Genomic DNA, 21,437 nt, shown 5'->3' with positions numbered 1-21,437 from the left:
AGGCGCAGTGTCTCACGCCTGTAATCCCCGCACTTTTGGGAGGCCAAGGTGGGTGGATCACTTAAGGTCAGGAGTTTGAAACCAGCCTGGCCAACATGGCAAAACTCCGTCTTTACGAAAAATACAAAAATTAGCAGGGCGTGGTGGCACATGCCTGTAATACCAGCTACTCAGGAGGCTGAAGCAGGAGAATTGCTTGAATCTGGGAGGTGGAGGTTGCAATGAGTGAGATCACGCCACTGCACTCCAGCCTGGGTGACAGTGAGACTCTGTTTCAAGGGGAAGAAAAAAAAAGATGTTTTTCTGTAGCTTTAGACAAACAATTTGTCTAAAATGTCAAGTCTATAACTTACAATAGTCATAAAAGTAACTTATTTTTCTTATAAAAATACTTATTTACTTTAGAAAAATAAGAAAGTATATTTAAACTGAAAGCAGATGCAAAAGACACCTATAATCTTAACTCTGCTAGCACCTGACTGAAATCCTTTCAGACATTTGTACATAATTTGTGTGTTATATACTCATTCAACAGGTGGGATCATATAGTACATCCTGTTTTGTAACTGTTCCCATTCAGTATGATGGGGACATTTTCCTCAGTCACTACGTATTCATTGTGATGAAATTTTATGCTAGATATGATTTTTTACTTTCAAACAGAAAATTACAGGTCCCACTTTATATGTGACCCAGTATTTATAACAGCAACCATTAAAAACTACTAAGAATTTGCCTGGGTGTGGTGTCTCAGCCTGTAATCCCAACACTTTGGAAGGCCGAGGCAATTGGATCGCTTGAGCTCAGTTGTTCGAGACCAGCCTGGGCAACATGGTGAAATCCCGTCTCTACCAAAAACATAAAAATTAGCTGGGCGAGGTGGTGCATGCCTATAATCCCAGCTACTTGGGTGGCTGAGGAAGGTGAATCACTTGAACCCAGGAGGTGGAGGCTGCAATGAGCCGAGATCATGCCTCTGCACTCCAGCTTGAGTAACAGAGTGAGACCCTGTCTCAAAACCAACCAACCAACCAACCAACAAACTACTAAGAATTCATCATTTACAAACATTGAATATCTACTGCTGTATTATCTCACATGCTTAAAAAAGCTTAACTGTCAAAGGAATTACTGTTACGAGTTATGTATAATAACTTAACATGTAGCTATTTCCCTTGTATGTATAAAAATATGGGGAAAATGGATATTTTAGAATGAGACTGATTTTATGTTACAACTTTTATATTTGTTTTCATTTGAGTAATAGAGATAATAAGACCAAATTAAGTTTTTTGAACTCCTTATGTGCATAGCACCCCCTAATACATGTATGAGGCCATTTAGTAGTTATTGTAAACTTTAGTATTAAATATTCCATAGAACAAAGAGCTTAACTAAGCTTATAGGTATTTTTTCATACTGTGGGGGCACTAATGATTAATGGAGGTGGCATTAATTTAGTCATGGAATTGTGGACTGTTTTATCATGGTCAACTACTTCAGAGTTTGGTATGTAGCTTTTAGGACTGATACACCTAAATATACAAATATGAACTACATCTGCCTGTCCTTACTCTTCATTTCACTCTGGGGTTTTTTGTTTTGTTTTGTTTTGTTTTTGAGACAGGATCTCACTCTGTCACCCAGGCTGGAGTGCAGTGGTGCAATCACCACTCACTGTAGCCTTGACCTCCCCGGGCTCAGGTGATCCTCCCACCTCAGCCTCCTGAGTACCTTGGGTTACCCTGCCCAGCTAATGTTTTTGTGTGTGTTTGTTGTTATTTATTTATTTATTTTTGAGACGAAGTTTCACTCTTGTTGCCCAGGCTGGAGTGCAATGGCACGATCTCGGCTCACTGCAACCTCCGCCTCCCAGGTTCAAGCAGTTCTCCTGGCTCAGCCTCCCTACTAGCTGGGATTACAGGTGCCCGCCACCACACCCAGCTAATTTTTTGTATTTTTAGTAGAGACGGGGTTTCACTATGTTGGCCAAGCTGGTCTTGAACTCCTGACCTCAGGCAATCCACCTGCCTCAGCCTCCCGAAGTGCTGGGATTACAGGCATGAGCCACCGCACCCAGCTCGTTCTTGTATTTTTTTGTAAGGACGAGGTCTCACCACGTTGCCTAGGCTGGTCTTGAACTCCTGGGCTCAAGTGATCTGCCTGTCTCAGCCTTCCAAAGTGCTGGGATTACAGGTGTGAGCCACTGTGCCTGGCCTATTCTTACCCTTGAAGTGTAGTATTTTAATTTATATATTAGATTCTTTGTATTTGGCTTACTTGGGAAAAGGAACAACCCAGTATATTTTGATTCACTGTAGCTAGAGTTCTCTATTATTTCCTAACTAATGGATTGATGGATTTATTACTATGTGTAGGTCTCTGCCTCAGTTTCATTTCCTGCTCTCTCTCTCTTTTTACTTTCAAAGTACTTGGTATTTTATAAACTCTGGAAGAAGTGGTTATGTTGATATTTCATAGTCAATGAGGTAGGGTTTCTGCTTCCTACAGTGGTAAAGTAAAATGAGTTATTGACATGAATGTGGCCACTTCCTTCCTTTTGAGGTAAAGCAGTAGCAAACAGTAGTCTTTGAAAGTTGTTTCAGTTCATTTAGGGCTCACTTTTTTTTTTCTTTTGAGCAATAAAGTTTTTTCTTAAAACACTTGGCTGCTTTTATTAAAATGCTTAGTGAAGTACTTTATTCCCAGCTGATCTCTCTAAGTGTTGCTAGTGTTGTTTCTTTTTGTGGGTTTGAGTAGAATAATGCTCTGGAGAAACAAGAATGTCAAAAATGTAGTTTTAATGACTGCATGATTTAGAGCTAAAATAGATACAGAATTTAACAAAATGAGGCAGCATTCACCCTAAAATATTTTATGCTTCTGATTTCAGAGTGATCATTTAGGATCAGGAAGTCATTTCAGTAACCGTAAGTATAAAAGTATGGATTATCATTACAGTTCACCTAGTTCAAGTAAAGAAGAATGTTTATTCTTACTTGTTTAACTATACAGGAATAACTGTACAAGATATTCCTGCTGCTAAACTTCATCAGCACATGGAACTAGGAAGACGTTAAGATGACTATTGTAACTTCTAACATATTCTGATAATTACTGAAGCTCTGATTCTCCTTAGCTACCTGTATTTTAAAATTGTATATTGTATGAATTACCAAATTTGCCTTGTTGATTAGTAGACATAGACATTTGTCTTGTGATATTTAGGGTTCATTTTTTTATGGAAAGAACATAAACATAGTTTTCTAATTTGGAGAAATCGGTCTTAATGCAAGTAGGCATTTTAAAATTACATTTATGAATTATTTTTAGACCCTACATAATCTTTTTTATTCTGCAATGTTAAACAGTTTCTCTAGAAAATCTGTTTTTGTTTCCTAGTGACTATTAAACTATTCTCTCCTACAACAGTAATATTTATGCTATAAATTTAAATCATCATTTTTGTTTTGATTGATTATAAGATATATGTTTTATTATCATGTAGCCTAGTTTAAGAGTCCTCAATATTTCTGAAGTTTTAGTGATTCTGCTGAGAGAGAGCATAGAAAAAAATAAGAAAAAAAAAAACCAACCTAGTATCTGTTGTTCAGTAGATTGTAGGTACTTCTGTTTATAGAAATAATAAGGGGAAAATGGGTATTTTAGAATGAGGATACTTTTGTGTTGTACCTCTTGCTTCTCTTTTATTTGAATAATAAAGGAAATAACATCAAATTAATGTTTAGCCTACTTTAGTATGGATATTGAAGTTAAAATGTCATTCATTTGCATTTATTTAGGAAAAGAAGATATGCTTCTTAAACAAGGTCAGATGTATATGGCAGACTCACAGGTAATAACTGTTTTTTTTTTTAATTTTAAAAAACATTTAAAGAAAATTTTTGTGCCTTTATAAAGAGAGGAGAAAGCGGCATTGTACATTAAGTATATATACATAGAGTGAGGTTTTCATTATCAAAGACAAGTTGGTCCTGCTTTCTTGAGTTTAATAAAAACAGATATTGCTGTTTCTGGTGCCCTCTAGAGTGTTTTTGATGATAGTGGTTATAATAAGAGATTTGAATTATAGTTTCATTGCATTTGATGCTAAGTTTCTGTTCATTAACAGTGATTAGTTAACTCTTCATATTTGCCCATATAAAGGGGAAGACAGATATGAATAATCCAAAATATAATTTTTTGGTTTTTTTTTTTCCTCTTGATCCAGGGGAAAGGCAGTTCAGATTTAACTAACAGTAAATCTGTAGGGGTCTGCAGCAAGCTCTATCCTTGCCTCTTCAGAGGAAAGGATTCGGCTGAGGGGCAGAAGTAGGTTTAAGGCAGAGGGAGAGACCAAGGGAAGTTTTAGGGCAGGAGTGAGTTTATTAAAAAGTGTTAGAGCAGGAACGAAAGGAAGCAAAGTACACTTGGAAGAAGGCCAAGTGGGCGGCTTGAGAGATCCCAGTACCCTGTTCAGCCCTTGGCTTGGGATTTTTATGCACTGGCTTGGTTTTGGGGTTTGCATTTCTCCTCCCTTGATTCTTCTCTTGGGGGCAGGCTATCTGCATGCATAGTGGCCTGTCAGCACTTAGGAGGGGCCACATGTGTAGTGCCTTTACTAAGGTTGTGCACCTGCTCTCTAGGGGCTATTTTCCTTTACCAGTCAAATGCTCCCTGAAGAAGGTCATACATCCACCATTTTGCCTCTTAGTGCGCATGCTTGAGCCTGCTCACCCAGCTCCGGAGATCTTATCAGGAAGCCGCTGTCACCAGCTCCAGGTGTTTTCTGTCTATTGGGAGACTCTCTTTCCCTGGTGCTGGCTGTGACCAATCATTCTCTTGACAACTCTGATAACTAGCTGGGTTTCTTTTCGTGGTATTTTTATAATTCAGAGAATATTCTGTTGGATTAACAGTGAAGGTACGCAGAAGTCAAAAATCTTATTAGTTAAATCTATAATTCTATGAAATTATCTGCAAATTTAAAATCGCAGTACTTGTTTTTATTCAAGGATATGATGGTTTTCTTCAGAATTTAAAGTTCTAAGCACATTATGTACCATAAAACATAGAAATAATAAATATGTTTTGATAAAGTTGATGATATTCATGTGTGGGTAGGTGTTAATGAATGGGGGAAGAAAGACAAAATAGCACCCAGTAGCCATGGCCATTGTCCGTTGTTCTGCCAGAAATAGACTTACGTGAACAGAACTCTCAAAATGTTGTGAATGTATTAAGGAAATCATATCCAGAACTGTTTCCTTACCACAAAAATCAGCATTGTGATTTTTTTTCCATCTTACTGCCTAATCTGAAAACCCTTTGATTCCTGATGATGTGCTAACTTTCTCTAAGTTTGGCAAATAAGTATAGTAAATGTCTCATTTAGGCTTTTGTGATTGATGTCTTTTTTTTTTTCTTTTCAGTGTACTTCCCCAGGTATACCAGCCCATATGCAAAGCAGATCTATGTTAAGACCTCTGGAACTATCTTTACCCAGTCAAACGTCATACTCTGAAAATGAAATTTTAAAGAAAGAGTTAGAAGCAATGCGAACTTTCTGTGAGTCAGCAAAACAAGACCGACTGAAGCTCCAAAATGAACTGGCACACAAAGTGGCAGAATGCAAAGCTTTAGCATTAGAATGTGAAAGGGTCAAGGAGGATTCAGATGAACAGATAAAGCAATTAGAAGATGCATTAAAAGATGTGCAGAAGAGGATGTATGAGTCAGAAGGTAAAGTTAAACAAATGCAGACCCATTTTCTTGCCCTTAAAGAACACTTAACAAGTGAAGCAGCCTCAGGGAATCACAGACTAACCGAGGAACTGAAGGATCAGTTGAAAGACTTGAAAGTAAAATATGAAGGTGCTTCAGCAGAAGTGGGGAAATTAAGAAACCAAATCAAACAAAATGAGATGATAGTAGAAGAGTTTAAGAGGGATGAAGGCAAGCTGATAGAAGAAAATAAGCGATTACAGAAGGAACTTAGTATGTGTGAAATGGAGCGAGAGAAGAAAGGAAGAAAGGTCACAGAGATGGAAGGCCAGGCAAAAGAATTGTCAGCGAAGTTGGCCCTTTCCATTCCAGCTGAAAAATTTGAAAACATGAAGAGCTCATTATCAAATGAAGTGAATGAGAAAGCAAAAAAATTAGTAGAAATGGAAAGAGAACATGAAAAATCACTTAGTGAAATTAGACAGTTAAAGAGAGAACTTGAGAATGTTAAGGCCAAGCTTGCTCAGCACGTCAAACCAGAGGAACATGAACAGGTTAAGAGCAGATTAGAACAGAAATCAGGAGAACTTGGGAAGAAGATCACTGAGTTAACATTGAAAAATCAGACACTACAAAAGGAAATTGAAAAAGTTTATTTGGATAATAAGCTCCTCAAGGAGCAAGCACATAACTTAACAATTGAAATGAAAAATCATTATGTTCCTTTAAAAGTAAGTGAAGACATGAAAAAGTCACATGATGCAATTATTGATGATCTTAATAGAAAGCTTTTAGATGTAACACAAAAATATACAGAAAAGAAGTTGGAAATGGAGAAATTGCTACTGGAAAATGACAGCTTAAGTAAGGATGTAAGCCGCCTAGAAACTGTGTTTGTACCTCCTGAGAAACATGAAAAAGAGATAATAGCTCTGAAATCCAATATTGTTGAACTTAAGAAACAGCTGTCTGAACTTAAGAAAAAATGTGGTGAAGACCAGGAGAAAATACACGCTCTCACATCTGAAAACACTAACTTGAAGAAGATGATGAGTAATCAGTATGTGCCAGTTAAAACCCATGAAGAGGTTAAAATGACACTGAATGACACGTTAGCCAAAACTAACAGAGAATTATTAGATGTGAAGAAAAAATTTGAAGATATAAATCAGGAATTTGTAAAAATAAAAGATAAGAATGAAATATTAAAAAGAAACCTGGAAAACACTCAGAACCAAATAAAAGCTGAGTACATCAGCCTGGCAGAGCACGAGGCAAAGATGAGCTCGCTAAGTCAGAGCATGAGAAAGGTGCAGGATAGTAATGCTGAAATCTTGGCCAACTACAGAAAAGGCCAAGAAGAGATTGTGACACTGCATGCCGAAATTAAAGCCCAGAAGAAGGAGCTCGACACAATACAAGAATGCATTAAGGTAAAATACGCCCCAATTGTCAGCTTTGAGGAGTGCGAGAGAAAATTTAAAGCAACAGAGAAAGAACTAAAAGACCAGTTATCAGAGCAGACACAAAAGTATAGTGTCAGTGAAGAAGAAGTCAAGAAAAACAAGCAAGAGAATGACAAGTTAAAGAAGGAGATTTTTACCCTTCAGAAAGATTTGAGAGATAAGACAGTTCTCATTGAGAAGTCTCATGAAATGGAAAGAGCATTAAGCAGAAAAACAGACGAGCTAAACAAACAGTTAAAAGACTTGTCACAGAAATACACGGAAGTAAAGAATGTGAAAGAGAAGCTAGTAGAAGAAAATGCCAAACAGACTTCTGAGATACTTGCAGTGCAAAATCTTTTGCAAAAACAACATGTTCCATTGGAACAGGTTGAGGCTCTGAAAAAATCTCTTAATGGCACAATTGAAAATCTAAAGGAAGAACTGAAGAGTATGCAAAGGTGTTACGAGAAAGAGCAGCAGACAGTGACCAAACTGCATCAATTGTTGGAGAATCAAAAGAACTCTTCTGTACCCCTGGCAGAGCATTTGCAGATTAAAGAAGCATTTGAGAAAGAAGTTGGAATCATAAAAGCCAGCTTGAGAGAAAAGGAAGAAGAAAGCCAAAACAAAATGGAAGAAGTCTCCAAACTTCAGTCGGAGGTTCAGAATACTAAACAAGCATTAAAAAAATTAGAGACTAGAGAGGTAGTTGACTTGTCTAAATATAAAGCAACAAAAAGTGATTTGGAGACACAGATTTCTAGCTTAAATGAAAAATTGGCCAATCTGAATAGAAAGTATGAGGAAGTATGTGAGGAAGTTTTGCATGCCAAAAAGAAGGAAATATCTGCAAAAGATGAGAAGGAATTACTGCATTTCAGCATTGAGCAAGAAATTAAGGATCAGAAGGAACGATGTGATAAGTCCTTAACAACAATCACAGAGTTACAAAGAAGAATACAAGAATCTGCTAAACAAATAGAAGCAAAAGATAATAAGGTAGGTACAAAGTAGTCTGCACGGCTATGTGTTGGAAACCCCAGAGCAGTGCTCTTTACCACAGAATCTCACAGGAAAGTAGACACAGGTATTAACAAAGTGACCCTTTCCAGTTTAGCAACTTGCGTGCAAAAATTCCGAATTGAAAAAAAAAGTGAAGTAACACAAAAGTCAAAAGCATTTTTCCTTCTGTTTCTTTAGCTGTTCTAGCCAAGAATTCAGGAACGATGGGGAGACTTAAGGCTCACTTGTCTCATACATGAAGAGTCAAAAGCCAGTGGGTTTGTGGCATATGAAAGATGGGGAAGAGGGTGGTGGGGAAGCTCTCTTTCTGGGCTGCAAGAAACCAAGAACACTGGGGAGCATCTAGAGTTGATCTCGGTACTCACCCATAGTAGTAAACTGAGCCCTCCAATTCATTTTATGTTCTGTTGCTCATGTCTTTCTACAGACTAGAAAGTCTACATCCCCTCACCCAGAATGTCCTTTCCCTCCTTTCTACTGAGTTGAATCCTATACATTCATTAACATGTTATCCTCCTTCTTAAAGCCCTCACTGTCCAATCTAGTCTATAGTAAACAGTTCCTCCTCTAAGGTGGATGTTTTACTGTGGCTTTGCCATCCATTTAAAACATTTATATTACCTTGTTAGAATTATGTAGTTGATCTTCCCAATCAGTTTTTATGAGCAGGGTTTATAACTTAACTTTCCATCTTAGCTTTAATTCTCATGGTACAATTTACAGAATAGGTACTCAACAATATTTTTGACACTGATGTTGCATAAAGTTTTTACTATGGATATGACATATAAAGATTGGCTGCAGTTTTATCCATTCAACATGTAATGATTAAATGCCTTCTGCATGTCATGTGCTGGGGATACAGTGGAGTAAACACAGACACAGACTGCCCTCCCCAGTGGAAAGTACTTGTACATACTGTCCTCTGGCACACCATCTCTGTGATTGAGAATTTAAATGCTCTAAGCTTGTTCAGAAGGTACCTATGAATATATATAGTAATATATAAGAGTTAATTATTAATATCTACTTGTTGCCATTTATTGAGCGGGTGCATGTAATTGCATTTCATTTTCTTTGTTTTTTTTCTATTATTATTTTTCAATAAAAAATTTTGTGGGGGAGGAGATGGTATCTTGCTCTATTGCCCAGGCTGGTCTTGAATTCCTGAGTTTAAACAATCTTCCTGCCTTAGCCTCCCAAAGTGTTGGGACTATAGGTGTGAGCCACTGTGCCCAACCTGATTTTCTTAACTCTGAAAGATTGTCCACCTTTCACCAATGTGGAATCTAAGGCTCAGAAAAGTAAATTAGCCAAGCTCATACAAGTTGACTCTGTCTGACTTTAAAGCAGGGTGGAAAAATGCTATGTTTCTAGGCACTTCCTATTCCTATAAACAAGCCTCCTTGTTTTTTTTCTCTCTACAACAAAGTGGTCTTAAATAATACAACTCTTGAAAGGAAAAAGGAACATATGTTAATCCTAGACTTACACGGGCCACACCCTTTTACTTTTCACACTTTGTTGCTGGGAATCCCCCTTCCCTTCCTGTGTTCCATATGTTACCTGGAAGATAGTTCATGTGCCTTCGTAGATGCTTATATATTAGCTAAAAGTAAGACTATGTTTATACTCACATCTTAGGATATATGTAATATTTATTCTTAATTTGGTATTGCTTTTGTAAATAATTTCTGGAGAGGGATTTAATTATAAATTACATATTGTATACATCCTTGGTAACAGTCTTGGCAATATTCATACCTCAATTTTCTGGTGTATAAAGATAAAGCTTCTGTCTCCAAAAAGGAATGATTTCTGTACAAAGATGTTCATTGTACATGATAAGTGAATAATATATTTCTCCTACAACATTTTTTTAAAGATAACTGAACTGCTTAATGATGTGGAAAGATTAAAACAGGCACTCAATGGCCTTTCCCAACTCACCTACACAAGTGGGAACCCCACCAAGAGGCAGAGCCAGCTGATTGACACTCTGCAGCACCAAGTGAAATCTCTGGAGCAACAGCTGGCCGTGAGTAACCAGGCACACGGGGCTTTGCAGGAATATGTGCTGGCTCCCTGTAGTTAGTTTGTAAGGCTCATTTAGAAATTAAAGTGCTCTGTAGCTATGTTCGGATCCAAGAATATAATTATTTTTATATGCGAAAAGTTACCTATACTGGTGGTGTAATAATACTTATTTGATGCCTACTATACACCAGGCACCATATTAAACATTTTACGTACTTTATCTATAAACTTTATCTTCATCATGATCTCACAAAGCAGATTTATTCCCTCCATTTAATTCTTAAGGAAACAAAGAATAACATATTTGATGCCTGGGGTCATTCAGCTGGGGTATAAACCTGGAACTGGCTGACTCCAAATCCAGCATCTTTCTCATTGCAGGGTGCTCTCTAAAATATTGGTCCACTAAACTAAAGGAGGTTTTAAAATAATCTTTTATCTTTGTGAATAAAGAGGCATTCCTATGGTTTTATACCTTATATAGAAGGATAAGTGCCTGGATTTAGAAGCTAATGTTGGAAGGTCTGGTCTAAGTCCTGCCACTTACAAGGAAGTGGCAAGGAACATTCCCTTTAACTCTTGGTTTTCTCATCAAGAAAATAGAATAATAACTGATTACTTGTTTACATTTATTATTATTTTTATTATACTTTAAGTTCTAGGGTACATGTGCACAACGTGCAGGTTTGTTACATATGTATACATGGACCATGTTGGTGTGCTGCACCCATTAACTCGTCATTTAACATTAGATATATCACCTAATGCTATCCCTCCCCCCTCCCCCCACCCCACAACAGGCCCCAGTGTGTGATGTTCCCCTTCCTGTGTCCATGTGTTCTCACTGTTCAGTTCCCACCTATGAGTGAGAACATGCAGTGTTTGGTTTTTTGTCGTTGCGATAGTTTGCTGAGAATGATGGTTTCCAGCTTCATCCATGTCCCTACAAAGGACATGAACTCATCCTTTTTTATCACTGCATAGTATTCCATGGTGTATATGTGCCACATTTTCTTAATCCAGTCTATCATTGTTGGACATTTGGGTTGGTTCCAAGTCCTTGCTATTGTGAACAGTGCCGCAATAAACATATGTGTCTTTATAGCAGCATGTGTCTTTATAGCAGCATGATCTATAATCCTTTGGGTATATACCCAGTAATGGGATGGCTGGGTCAAATGGTATTTCTACTTTGAGATCCCTGAGGAATCGCCACACTGACTTCCACAATAGTTGAACTAGTTTACAGTCCCACCAACAGTGTAAAAGTGTTCCTATTTCTCCACATCCTCTCCAGCACCTGTTGTTTCCTGACTTTTTAATGATTGCCATTCTAACTGGTGTGAGATGGTATCTCACTGTGGTTTTGATTTGCATTTCTCTGACGGCCAGTGATGATGAGCATTTTTTCATGTGTCTTTTGGCTGCATAAATGTCTTCTTTTGAGAAGTGTCTGTTCATATCCTTCGCCCACTTGTTGATGGGGTTGTTTTTTTCTTGTAAATGTGTTTGAGTTCATTGTAGATTCTGGATATTAGCCCTTTGTCAGATGAGTGGATTGCAAAAATGTTCTCCCATTCTGTAGGTTGCCTGTTCACTCTGATGGTAGTTTCTTTTGCTGTGCAGAAGCTCTTTAGTTTAATTAGATCCCATTTGTCAATTTTGGCTTTTGTTGCCATTGCTTTTGGTGTTTTAGACATGAAGTCCTTGCCCATGCCTATGTCCTGAATGGTATTGCCTAGGTTTTCTTCTAGGGTTTTTATGGTTTTAGGTATAACATTTAAGTCTTTAATCCATCTTGAATTAATTTTTGTATAAGGTGTAAGGAAGGGATCCAGTTTCAGCTTTCTGCGTATGGCTAGCCAGTTTTCCCAGCACCATTTATTAAATAGGGAATGGTTTCCCCATTTCTTGTTTTTGTCAGGTTTGTCAAAGATCAGATAGTTGTAGATATGTGGCATTATTTCTGAGGGCTCTGTTCTGTTCCATTGGTCTGTATCTCTGTTTTGGTACCAGTAGCATGCTGTTTTGGTTACTGTAGCCTTGTAGTATAGTTTGAAGTTAGGTAGCATGATGCCTCCAGCTTTGTTCTTTTGACTTAGGATTGACTTGGCGATGCAGGCTCTTTTTTGGTTCCATATGAACTTTAAAGTAGTTTTTTCCAATTCTGTGAAGAAAGTCATTGGTAGCTTGATGGGGATGGCATTGAATCTATAAATTACCTTGGGCAGTATAGCCATTTTCATGACATTGATTCTTCCTACCCATGAGCATGGAATGTTCTCCCATTTGTTTGTATCCTCTTTTATTTCATTGAGCAGTGGTTTGTAGTTTGCCATGAAGAGGTCCTTCACATCTCTTGTAAGTTGGATTCCTAGGTATTTTATTCTCTTTGAAGCAATCGTGAATGGGAGTTCACTCATGATTTGGCTCTCTGTTTGTCTGTTATTGGTGTATAAGAATGCTTGTGATTTTTGCACATTGATTTTGTACCCTGAGACTTTGCTCAAGTTGCTTATCAGCTTAAGAAGATTTTGGGCTGAGATGATGGGGTTTTCTAGATATACAATGATGTCATCTGCAAACAGGGACAATTTGACTTCCTCTTTTCCTAATTGAATACCTTTTATTTCCTTCTCCTGCCTGATTGCCCTGGCCAGAACTTCCAATACTATGTTGAATAGGAGTGGCGAGAGAGGGCATCCCTGTCTTGTGCCAGTTTTCAAAGGGAATGCTTCCAGTTTTTGCCCATTCAGTATGATATTGGCTGTGGGTTTGTCATAGATAGCTCTTATTATTTTGAGATACGTCCCATCAATACCTAATTTATTGAGAGTTTTTAGCATGAAAAGTTGTTGAATTTTGTCAAAAGATGGGGTCTTCTATGTGGCTTAGGCTTGTCTCCAATGGGGTCTTGCTATAGGCTGATCTCCTGGGCTCAAGTGATCCTACTGCCTCAGCTTCCTGAGTATCTGGGACTATGCTTTTAATTATGCACTAATACACATTGAAATGCTAAGTAAAACGGCCCAGTCACATGTAAATTGTTGCTGATGTTTCCCTATTTCATAGAATTGTTTGAGTTATTTTTTAATAGAAGAAAGGTTTTTTGTTTTGTTTCTTTTTTAGTGTTTATTTTTTAACACTGTAGGCCTACAGATTAAGGATGGCAAATTGTGGATTTGGATCTTATCCAAAGAGTATAGTGTCCCTTTAATAATTGGAAATATTTGTTTATTGTTTATTATGTTCATGACCCTGTGCTAAGTGGGATAAAGAAAGTATGCCATTCCTGTCCCCAAGGAGTTCTGGGTAGTTAGAGAGGCAAAATACAGATTCATAAAAAGTAAAAATCACAAGATGAGAGATGTCAAATGTAGAACTGAGAATGCAGATTCTAAGTGATAGGGGTTTCCAGGAAGGAAAGATTAGTGGTGTGGTAGAAGCTAGTTTTTAAAGAAGGGAGTACCTGGCTTGAACTTGTAACGTAGATGCTATTTTGGTAGGTGAAAGGAAAGTAGAGGCTCTTCCATCTAAAGAAAATAGTGTAAAAGAAGCGTGGAGATGGAATACAAGTGGCATGGCCAGAGGGCAGTAAAAGCCCTGCCTGTAGAGTAGTCCCTCTCTTATCCACTGAGGGTATGTTCCAAGATCCCCAGTGGATGCCTGAAACCATGGATAGGACCTGCTGAATGAACCCTATATAAGCTATGTTTTCCCCCCAGATATACATACCTGTGATAAAGAGTAATTTATAAATTGGGCACAGTAAGAGATTAATAACAACATAATAAAATAGAACAATTATAACAATATGTTGTAATAAAAGTTATGTGAATGTGGTCTCTCTCTATATCTCAAAATATTGTATTATACCATGGGCAACAGAAATAGAGAAAGTGAAACTGCTCATCGCAAAACTGCCAATAAGAGGGGACTGCTGTATTTGAAAGTTAATGTTTGAAGCCAAACTGTGGAAGTCATTGAGAACCAAACTGATGAATTTGGATTCTCTCATGTATGTAAAGAAGTGTCACTCAAGGTTTTTGAGCCAAAAGTGATGTGAGGAAATAGGTACCTTAGTCTCAGAGGCATGGTAAGGAATATAGTGTGGAGATAGTAAGACAGGATGGGAAGCGTTTGCAATAATCCAGACATGTGATAAGTGTCTTCAGAAGTTCATGGCACTAGATATGAACTAAAGCAATAATTTGATGTTGCTTAGGGAAAGTAGCATTACTGTCATTAGCCACACATTCTTTACAGAAGTTTATATTGTTACGTTTTGAAATTCTGCATCTGGTAGGTCCAAGGTAGTTTGTTGTTAGAAGTAGCAGGATCGCCTTAATAATAATAATAGTTTTGTAGCATGAAGCCTGAGCATTGTCCAAAGTTTGGAAATGTGAACGCTGATAGTCACATCTGTCCATCTTTCCACATTTCTAGGATGCTGACAGACAGCACCAAGAAGTAATTGCAATTTATCGGACACACCTTCTTAGTGCTGCACAGGTAAAGAACTACTTCTCCTTTGGAAAGAATATTGCTTTAGAGATAATAATTTTTTATTTTCAAATAAATTTATGTGAAAGTAATTGATGTTTAAAGTAGCTGCACCCCCTATGCTTATTTAAAAATAATTATGTTTCTTTTAATCATTGTTTGTGGATCTCCCAGAAAAATTTACAAAGCTATATGGCAACACAACATCTTAAATTTAGTGTCGTCTCCATCTGCTTGTCACTCAGTTTATAGACAGTTTGGTAACATGTGATGGTAGCACACGTTAATGGTGTTGCTAGCTGGAGATAATGCCTTGACATCCACGTGTGGCTGTCATCTAAGAGGAGAGTGGGAATGGCTTTGAATACTAGAAAAGTACAAAAGTGACAAGCAGGGTGTTATGTGTATAGGATTGTAGTAATTAAAAATGATCTGTTTTACCAAGCCTTAACTTGGCTTGGTAAAGCCAAGGATTAATTAAGGAATAACAGTATGAATTCCCTTTTTTAGGGGTGTACTGAGAAAGTTATTGTTAAAATCATACTAAGAAATTACTAACATATAAAGGATACTATGCTTAATTTCCTGTAGAAACCCCGTGAGCAGCATCTTCAAAATTCTCAGAATAGATTTTTTTTCAGGAAGAAAATGTACTAAAAGAAACAAATTTTAGAATGACAGAGATCCTGGGAATTATTTGGATTTGAAGTATGTTAGGCCACACTGTAAAAACAAGCAAAAAAAAAAAAAAAAAAAAAAAAAAACAAACAAAAAATGAAGAAGGGAAAGATGGATGTTGAGAGAAAGCTTCAAAAAAAGAACAATTTTAAAAAGAGAACTAGATAAAATAATAAAAAGAAAGATACTTTATGATATCAAATTCTTAAAATCAATAGACCTGCCTCTTCTATAGGAAATGGAGGGGAAACTAATGAAAAAGAATGAATGATATGATAGAACAAGGGATCTTAGCTACTCTCTTTTGAGCAAATCAGAGATAAACTAGAATCTTAAAGTTTATTGCAATTATTAGAGAAGATTATTGAGGGACAGTGAATAGGAAGTTCAAGTGGGGAAATAGCAGAAAATCTGTATTAGAGAGGCTGAGAAACTCACTAGTATTGGCCATGAGAGGAAGAGGTTGCTCCTAATGAAAAATACAGCAAACTAACAAGCCTTTCCACTTTGTATAATATGCACTTCCGGAATTTGAAATTATTTTCTACTGTGTCCTAATGAAACATAACAAAAGCAATTGACATCAGAAATAGTCTTGCCTTCTGGCATCATAAAGTTAACTAAGAAATTCAGTTCAGTCAACTATGGCTAATGTTTGAAATGTAAACATCCTGCTGTTATAGAAACAGATTTTGGAAGCAAAACTTTTCATATTAATAGGAAGTGTTGTGCTGAAACCTATTTAAGTACTCCAGGAAAAAAAAAATGTGTGTGTTGGGAGGGGGTGCGGTATTTTAATAAGCCCACCATATTGAGTTGCATTTAATCAACTCGTGCCACCATTTTAAGTTTAAAGTATTTTTTAAAAATATAAATGGCTAACATGCATGTAAAAAAGATACTTGGTTTCATCAGTAATGGGGGAGATGCAAATGAATAAGAACATACCATTTTTCACCTGTGGGACTGGCAATATTACACAAGATTATAGTCTATCGTGTTAGCCAGAGTGTATGGGAAATGGGCATTTTCACTCCATTGATGGTAGTGTACAGATTGTTACAATCTCTGTAGAGGGAAATTTTGTAGTACTTAACAGAATTAAAAATTGAGACTGCTTTTTGACCCAGCAATTTCTTCTCTAGTAATCTTTCCATTAAGATTGGAAATACCTTAAATGTCCATCGTTAGGGGAATGGGTAAAGAAATGTAATATGTCCATGCAGTGGATATTATACAATAATTTAAAATAATTGGGTAGCTCAAGGGAAAGATTTCTGTGACACTACATAAAAAAACAAGTTACAAAATAGTATGTGTTATATAATCTTATTTACGTAAAAACATAAATATGGGTTTTTTAAATCAATTACTTAAATTTTAAATTTTTTTAGGAGACAGATTCTTGCTCTGCCATCCAGGCTGGAGTGCTGTGGCACAATCATAGCTCATACAGCCTCAACTCCTGGGCTCAAGTGATCATCCTCCCTCAACCTCCCAAGTAGCTGGGACTACAGGCACATGCCACCACACCCAGCTAATTTTTTTTTTTTTTTTTTAAGTTTTTGCGACAGTCTCCACTGTATTGTCTAGGCTGGTCTTAAACTCCTGGCCTCAAGTGATCCTCCCACCTTGGCCTCCCAAAATGCTGGGATTGCAGGTGTGAGCCACCATGTTCAGCCATCAGTTAGTTTTCTAAACAAACAAACAAAAAACCTCAGCAGCAACAACAACAGATTTCCTTGTAGTTTACTTTGTTCATTTATAACTTATGCTGCCCCTATCATCCAAGGCTGTTATTAAAAAAGAGAAAGAGGGAGGTTTATCCATTTGTTTTCTGGTAATGGAAGTTAGAGCAGCTGTTGTGCACTAGTCTTTTTGTTTTTTCAGATGGGGTCTCGCCATGTCACCCAGGCTGGAGTGCAGTGCCACAATCTTGGTTCGCTGCAACCTCTGCCTCCCAGGTTCCAGCGATTCTCCTGTCTCAGCCTCCCGAGTAGCTGGGATTACACCCGTCTAATTTTTATATTTTTACCAGAGATGGGGTTTCGCCATGTTGGCCAGGCTGGTCTCGAACTCCTGACCTCAAATGATCCACCCACCTCAGCCTCCCAAAGTGCTGGGATTGCAGGCGTGAGCCACCACGCCCGGCCGTGCACTCCTTATTAATTGATCTTATTTTCATGATAGGGCTGTACTCCCTTTTCCAGTAATTCCTTTAGAAATCACAATGATGAGGATTTAGCATTTGATGAATCAATGACTAGTTATGCTCTGTAAAAGCTTTATCTTTAGAATTCTTATGTAAACAAAGATGACATAAAATAATGCTCCTCTTTCTTCTTTCTCCGAAGGGTCACATGGATGAAGATGTTCAGGAGGCTCTGCTCCAGATCATACAAATGCGGCAGGGGCTTGTGTGCTAGCCGTTAGCACTGACTGCCAGTATCTGTTTTATCTTGCTGGTGCTGAACATTCTTTGTGCAACTCCATGGTCTTTCTGGGCCTTACTGTGCTGGTATAATTAAAATAAAATATATTTTGTTCTATTGGTAGGTTTTTTTTTAAAATTAGATGAATATGTTAGTCTTTTTCAATATCAGTTTGAATCTTATTTTCTGTATGTGTTAATTTTACAAATAGGCAAACAACATAACTTTGCCCTGGATTGACTACATATTTTTAAACCTTCAAGTCCCTAATAAAACATGAGCCATCTGAGTGAGTCCATATGAAGCGAGGTTAGGCTGAAATAATTGCTTAAAGATGTCTTTCAGAGAAATTAATTTGGTTGGTGGCCACTTTTAGGTGGATCAAAAGACCTTTCAGATCCTCAGAACCTTGAGACATAATACAGTTGTGAGGAATGTGTTGTAACTTGGCTGGCCAAGTTACATGTTACAGTATCTTTACTGAGGTAACTTCATTAGTGTCTTTGGCCTTTTTTGTAGGTATAGATATTTTTTCTTTTTACACTAATAACTTTTATGCCTTTTAAAATAAATTTATTTTCATAAATGGTTTGCAGTGCTAAATTACATTTAGATTAAGAACAGGCAGGGGTGGAATATATCAGGAATTTATAATAAAATTGCCTTAATCTCTACAACAGTATCTTAATTTTTACTTGCGGTGACTATTCTTGCCACAATATTGGAGAATAATGATAGATGATATACTAGATTTTTCAAAGTGTGAAAACCTTTAGACTTTTTTTAGCAATTAGTTTGACATTCGCTACTATAGTAACCAAGCACTCATTATATATGCATCCTCCAAATGTTTCATGCTTATTTATAGGAAAGTTATATTAATGAGATTAATAATGTGAAATACAGTTTTCCTGCAAAATTAGCATTAGAGAATTGATTTTAGATAACAGATTTTTAAAGTTTTAGAGAAAAGTACAGTAATACAGTAAACTGAAAGAGTATATAGATAGCAATAAAATAACATAAGTGGACATGTTTATAGTAAATACTCTGAAGTAAACAACCGTTTTTATTAACTGCATCTCATTAGGGAAAGTTTATATGTCTTGTTATTTTTTATTAACATTTTATTTACCATTCAGAGTGAAAATTACTAATTTGAGTATTAACAAATAACTGAATAAATGGATCATTACAGTTAGGTTTTCTCAAATTGCAAAATTTGCCTTAGCAATTATCTTTGAACATCCCGAACCAGATTTTTAAATCCCATTTTTGTTTAATAGGGTAAAAATACCATCAAAATGACTTCTCATACCAAAGAATAAGCCATCATATTTTTTCGGTGTTGAAACAACATTGAAAGTCAGAATTGGATTTGTTTTTAATTCTTTATACGGTTTACATAAGCAATATCTGTCTCTTTAATTATTATGATTAATGTCGTCCTTCAGCATGAGTTCTGTTTCACAAGTTTTGGGCCACCTATTTCAATAAAAAATAAAATATAAATTAAAAAAGTTGCCGGGGGTGGTGGCTCATGCCTGTAATCCCAGCACTTTGGGAGGCTGAGGGAGGTAGATCACCTGAGGTCAGAAGTTCGAGACCAGCCTTACCAATATGGTGAAGCCCCATCTCTACTAAAAATACAAAAATTAGCCCTGCATGGTGGCAGGTGCCTGTAGTCCCAGGTACTCGGGAGGCTGAGACAGGAGAATCGCTTGAACCTGGGAGGCGGAGGTTGCAGTGAGCCAAGATCTCGCCACTGCACTCCAGCTTGGGCAATAGCAAGACTCCATCTCAAAATAAAATAAAATAAAACTTAGAGCAAAGTTTAAAACTGAGTATTCATATTAAGTGTTTTATTTTCCATATTAGAGATGGGAAGGGAACCTTATGTGTATTTTATTTTGTTTTCAACCATCAATAAAGTTTTCTCTAGAATATTGTTTTGAACATCCTTGTAAAAGATTTGCGAGTTAAACTATTTTATTTACTGTCTGTGAGAGCATTGGGAGTAGGAAACGATGGACTCCAAAGTACAAGGGAGAATACCCATTTTCATTCAGCTATCTGGAGTAAAATATCAAGTACTTCCTTCAACTAATCTTGTCTCATTCACTCACCTTTTGATATCGAAGGCAGAAATTGCGTTTACAACACTGAAGACCAAAGCTTTTTAATTAGTAAACAAGCGGAACATAGATAATGGACAATGCTGGCCACTGCCATTCTGTGTTCAGAAAGACTATGAGACCTGAACATATGGCCAAGAGGAAAGAAGAGTGACGTTGTCTAAGATGTAATGAGTGCTCTCTGAGAGAATCACTCAATTCCTATTGGAGTGCAATCCTTACTTGAGAACTTTATTACTCTTGTTCTGTGTAGTTTTTTTTTTTTGTCACTTCCCCATCAGAAAAGCATATTCTTTTTGATAGAGGGTCAGTGTTATAAATAATTGTCTTTTGAAATAAAATCAAATATTCATGCATTGAACATCTTAAATCTTTAATATTATGGTGACTATAATCACTTAACTGTATCAGCATTGTTCTAGAATTCCAGATGAATTTAGCTTTGTCTTTTTTATGGCTTTTTAGTTGAACCTTTTCTCTTGACCCTAACCAAATTTTATAGTTTACAATTTTCTACTCTTCTTATAAATGCATTGGCTCATTGCTGCTTTAAAAATCTTGTAGCTTTAGAACATGAGCATTTTTTTTCTCCAGTGTTATCAGCTTTCCTCTGACAAGGAAGGACCTAAAAACTATTCTCACACATGTGCTTGTTACCCTACCTGAATGTTCATGTCTTTGACCGACTCGTTTCAAAGTAAAAAAGGGAAGAGTTTCTAGTTAATTTTTGGTGTTCATGGTGACTAGATACATCAGTGCCTGCTTGCAGGAGTGCCAGACCCTAGCAGTGGTTACAAGCTTCTTTTGACATCTGCTTCACCATGGTAGAAGACAGTTACTTCTTATTGCCTCTGTTTTCATCACTGGATTCTGCAACCTTGCGATCTTTTTTCTTGTTGGTTCTGTGCACCAAAGTAATGGTAGCTCCTCTGGCACCAAAATACGGGTTGAAAGAGAATGCCTGTGATGAACATGAAAGATGTGGCTGACCTAGATCTTACCCTTGGCCCCTAAGTTTTATGAATAAGTTCAGAGGGAGGATAAAAAGCACTGGAGAAGTAAAGGCAGAATTTGCACCATAAAATAGATTGTGCACAAAATACGAAATGAAAATTAGTATAGACATTTCAACTGTCATTTCATTCAGTGTTGTTCCCCGCTAAACTGGAAACTGAACCTGAGACTGTTGCTGGAAATTCAGTTCTTTCCCGTGTTTTGATCTTAGCTATTTGAAACAGGACTCTTTAGACCAGCCTCTCCAGGTAAATATTAACCTGCTTCTTAGCATGGTTTCTGATTATTACTGAATATATTGACCTTTGGGCTCAAGTGAGTAATGAATGTACAGATTTTTTTTTTTTTTTTTTTTTTTTTAAAGATCAAGCTGTATCAGCGATGGCATTCCAACAAGACTCCCTGGGCAGTGAGGGTGCTTGTGTTCAGTGTAATTGGGCATG

The 21,437-nt window shown here is 37.0% G+C and overlaps 1 protein-coding gene across 8 annotated transcripts in view; it reads left to right on the top strand.

Moving 5' to 3' along the window:
* UACA (uveal autoantigen with coiled-coil domains and ankyrin repeats) overlaps nt 1-20,341 on the top strand; it is a 124,350-nt gene extending 104,009 nt beyond the window's left edge. For all 8 annotated transcript variants that reach the window (XM_017022395.2, XM_017022394.3, NM_018003.4 and 5 more), the window contains 6 exons: nt 2,894-2,930; nt 3,804-3,856; nt 5,433-8,171; nt 10,081-10,233; nt 14,679-14,744; nt 17,768-20,341. In XM_017022395.2, the coding sequence (XP_016877884.1) occupies nt 2,894-2,930; nt 3,804-3,856; nt 5,433-8,171; nt 10,081-10,233; nt 14,679-14,744; nt 17,768-17,839 (3,120 nt within the window). In that variant the 3' untranslated portion in view covers nt 17,840-20,341. The remainder of the gene's footprint in view (nt 1-2,893; nt 2,931-3,803; nt 3,857-5,432; nt 8,172-10,080; nt 10,234-14,678; nt 14,745-17,767) is intronic.

This window comes from Homo sapiens, chromosome 15 (assembly GCF_000001405.40).
Source record: "Homo sapiens chromosome 15, GRCh38.p14 Primary Assembly".
In the NCBI taxonomy this organism is placed as follows: domain Eukaryota; kingdom Metazoa; phylum Chordata; class Mammalia; order Primates; family Hominidae; genus Homo; species Homo sapiens.
The sequence above is the reverse complement of the archived record's forward strand: the minus strand, read 5'-3'. Positions and strand labels throughout refer to the sequence as shown.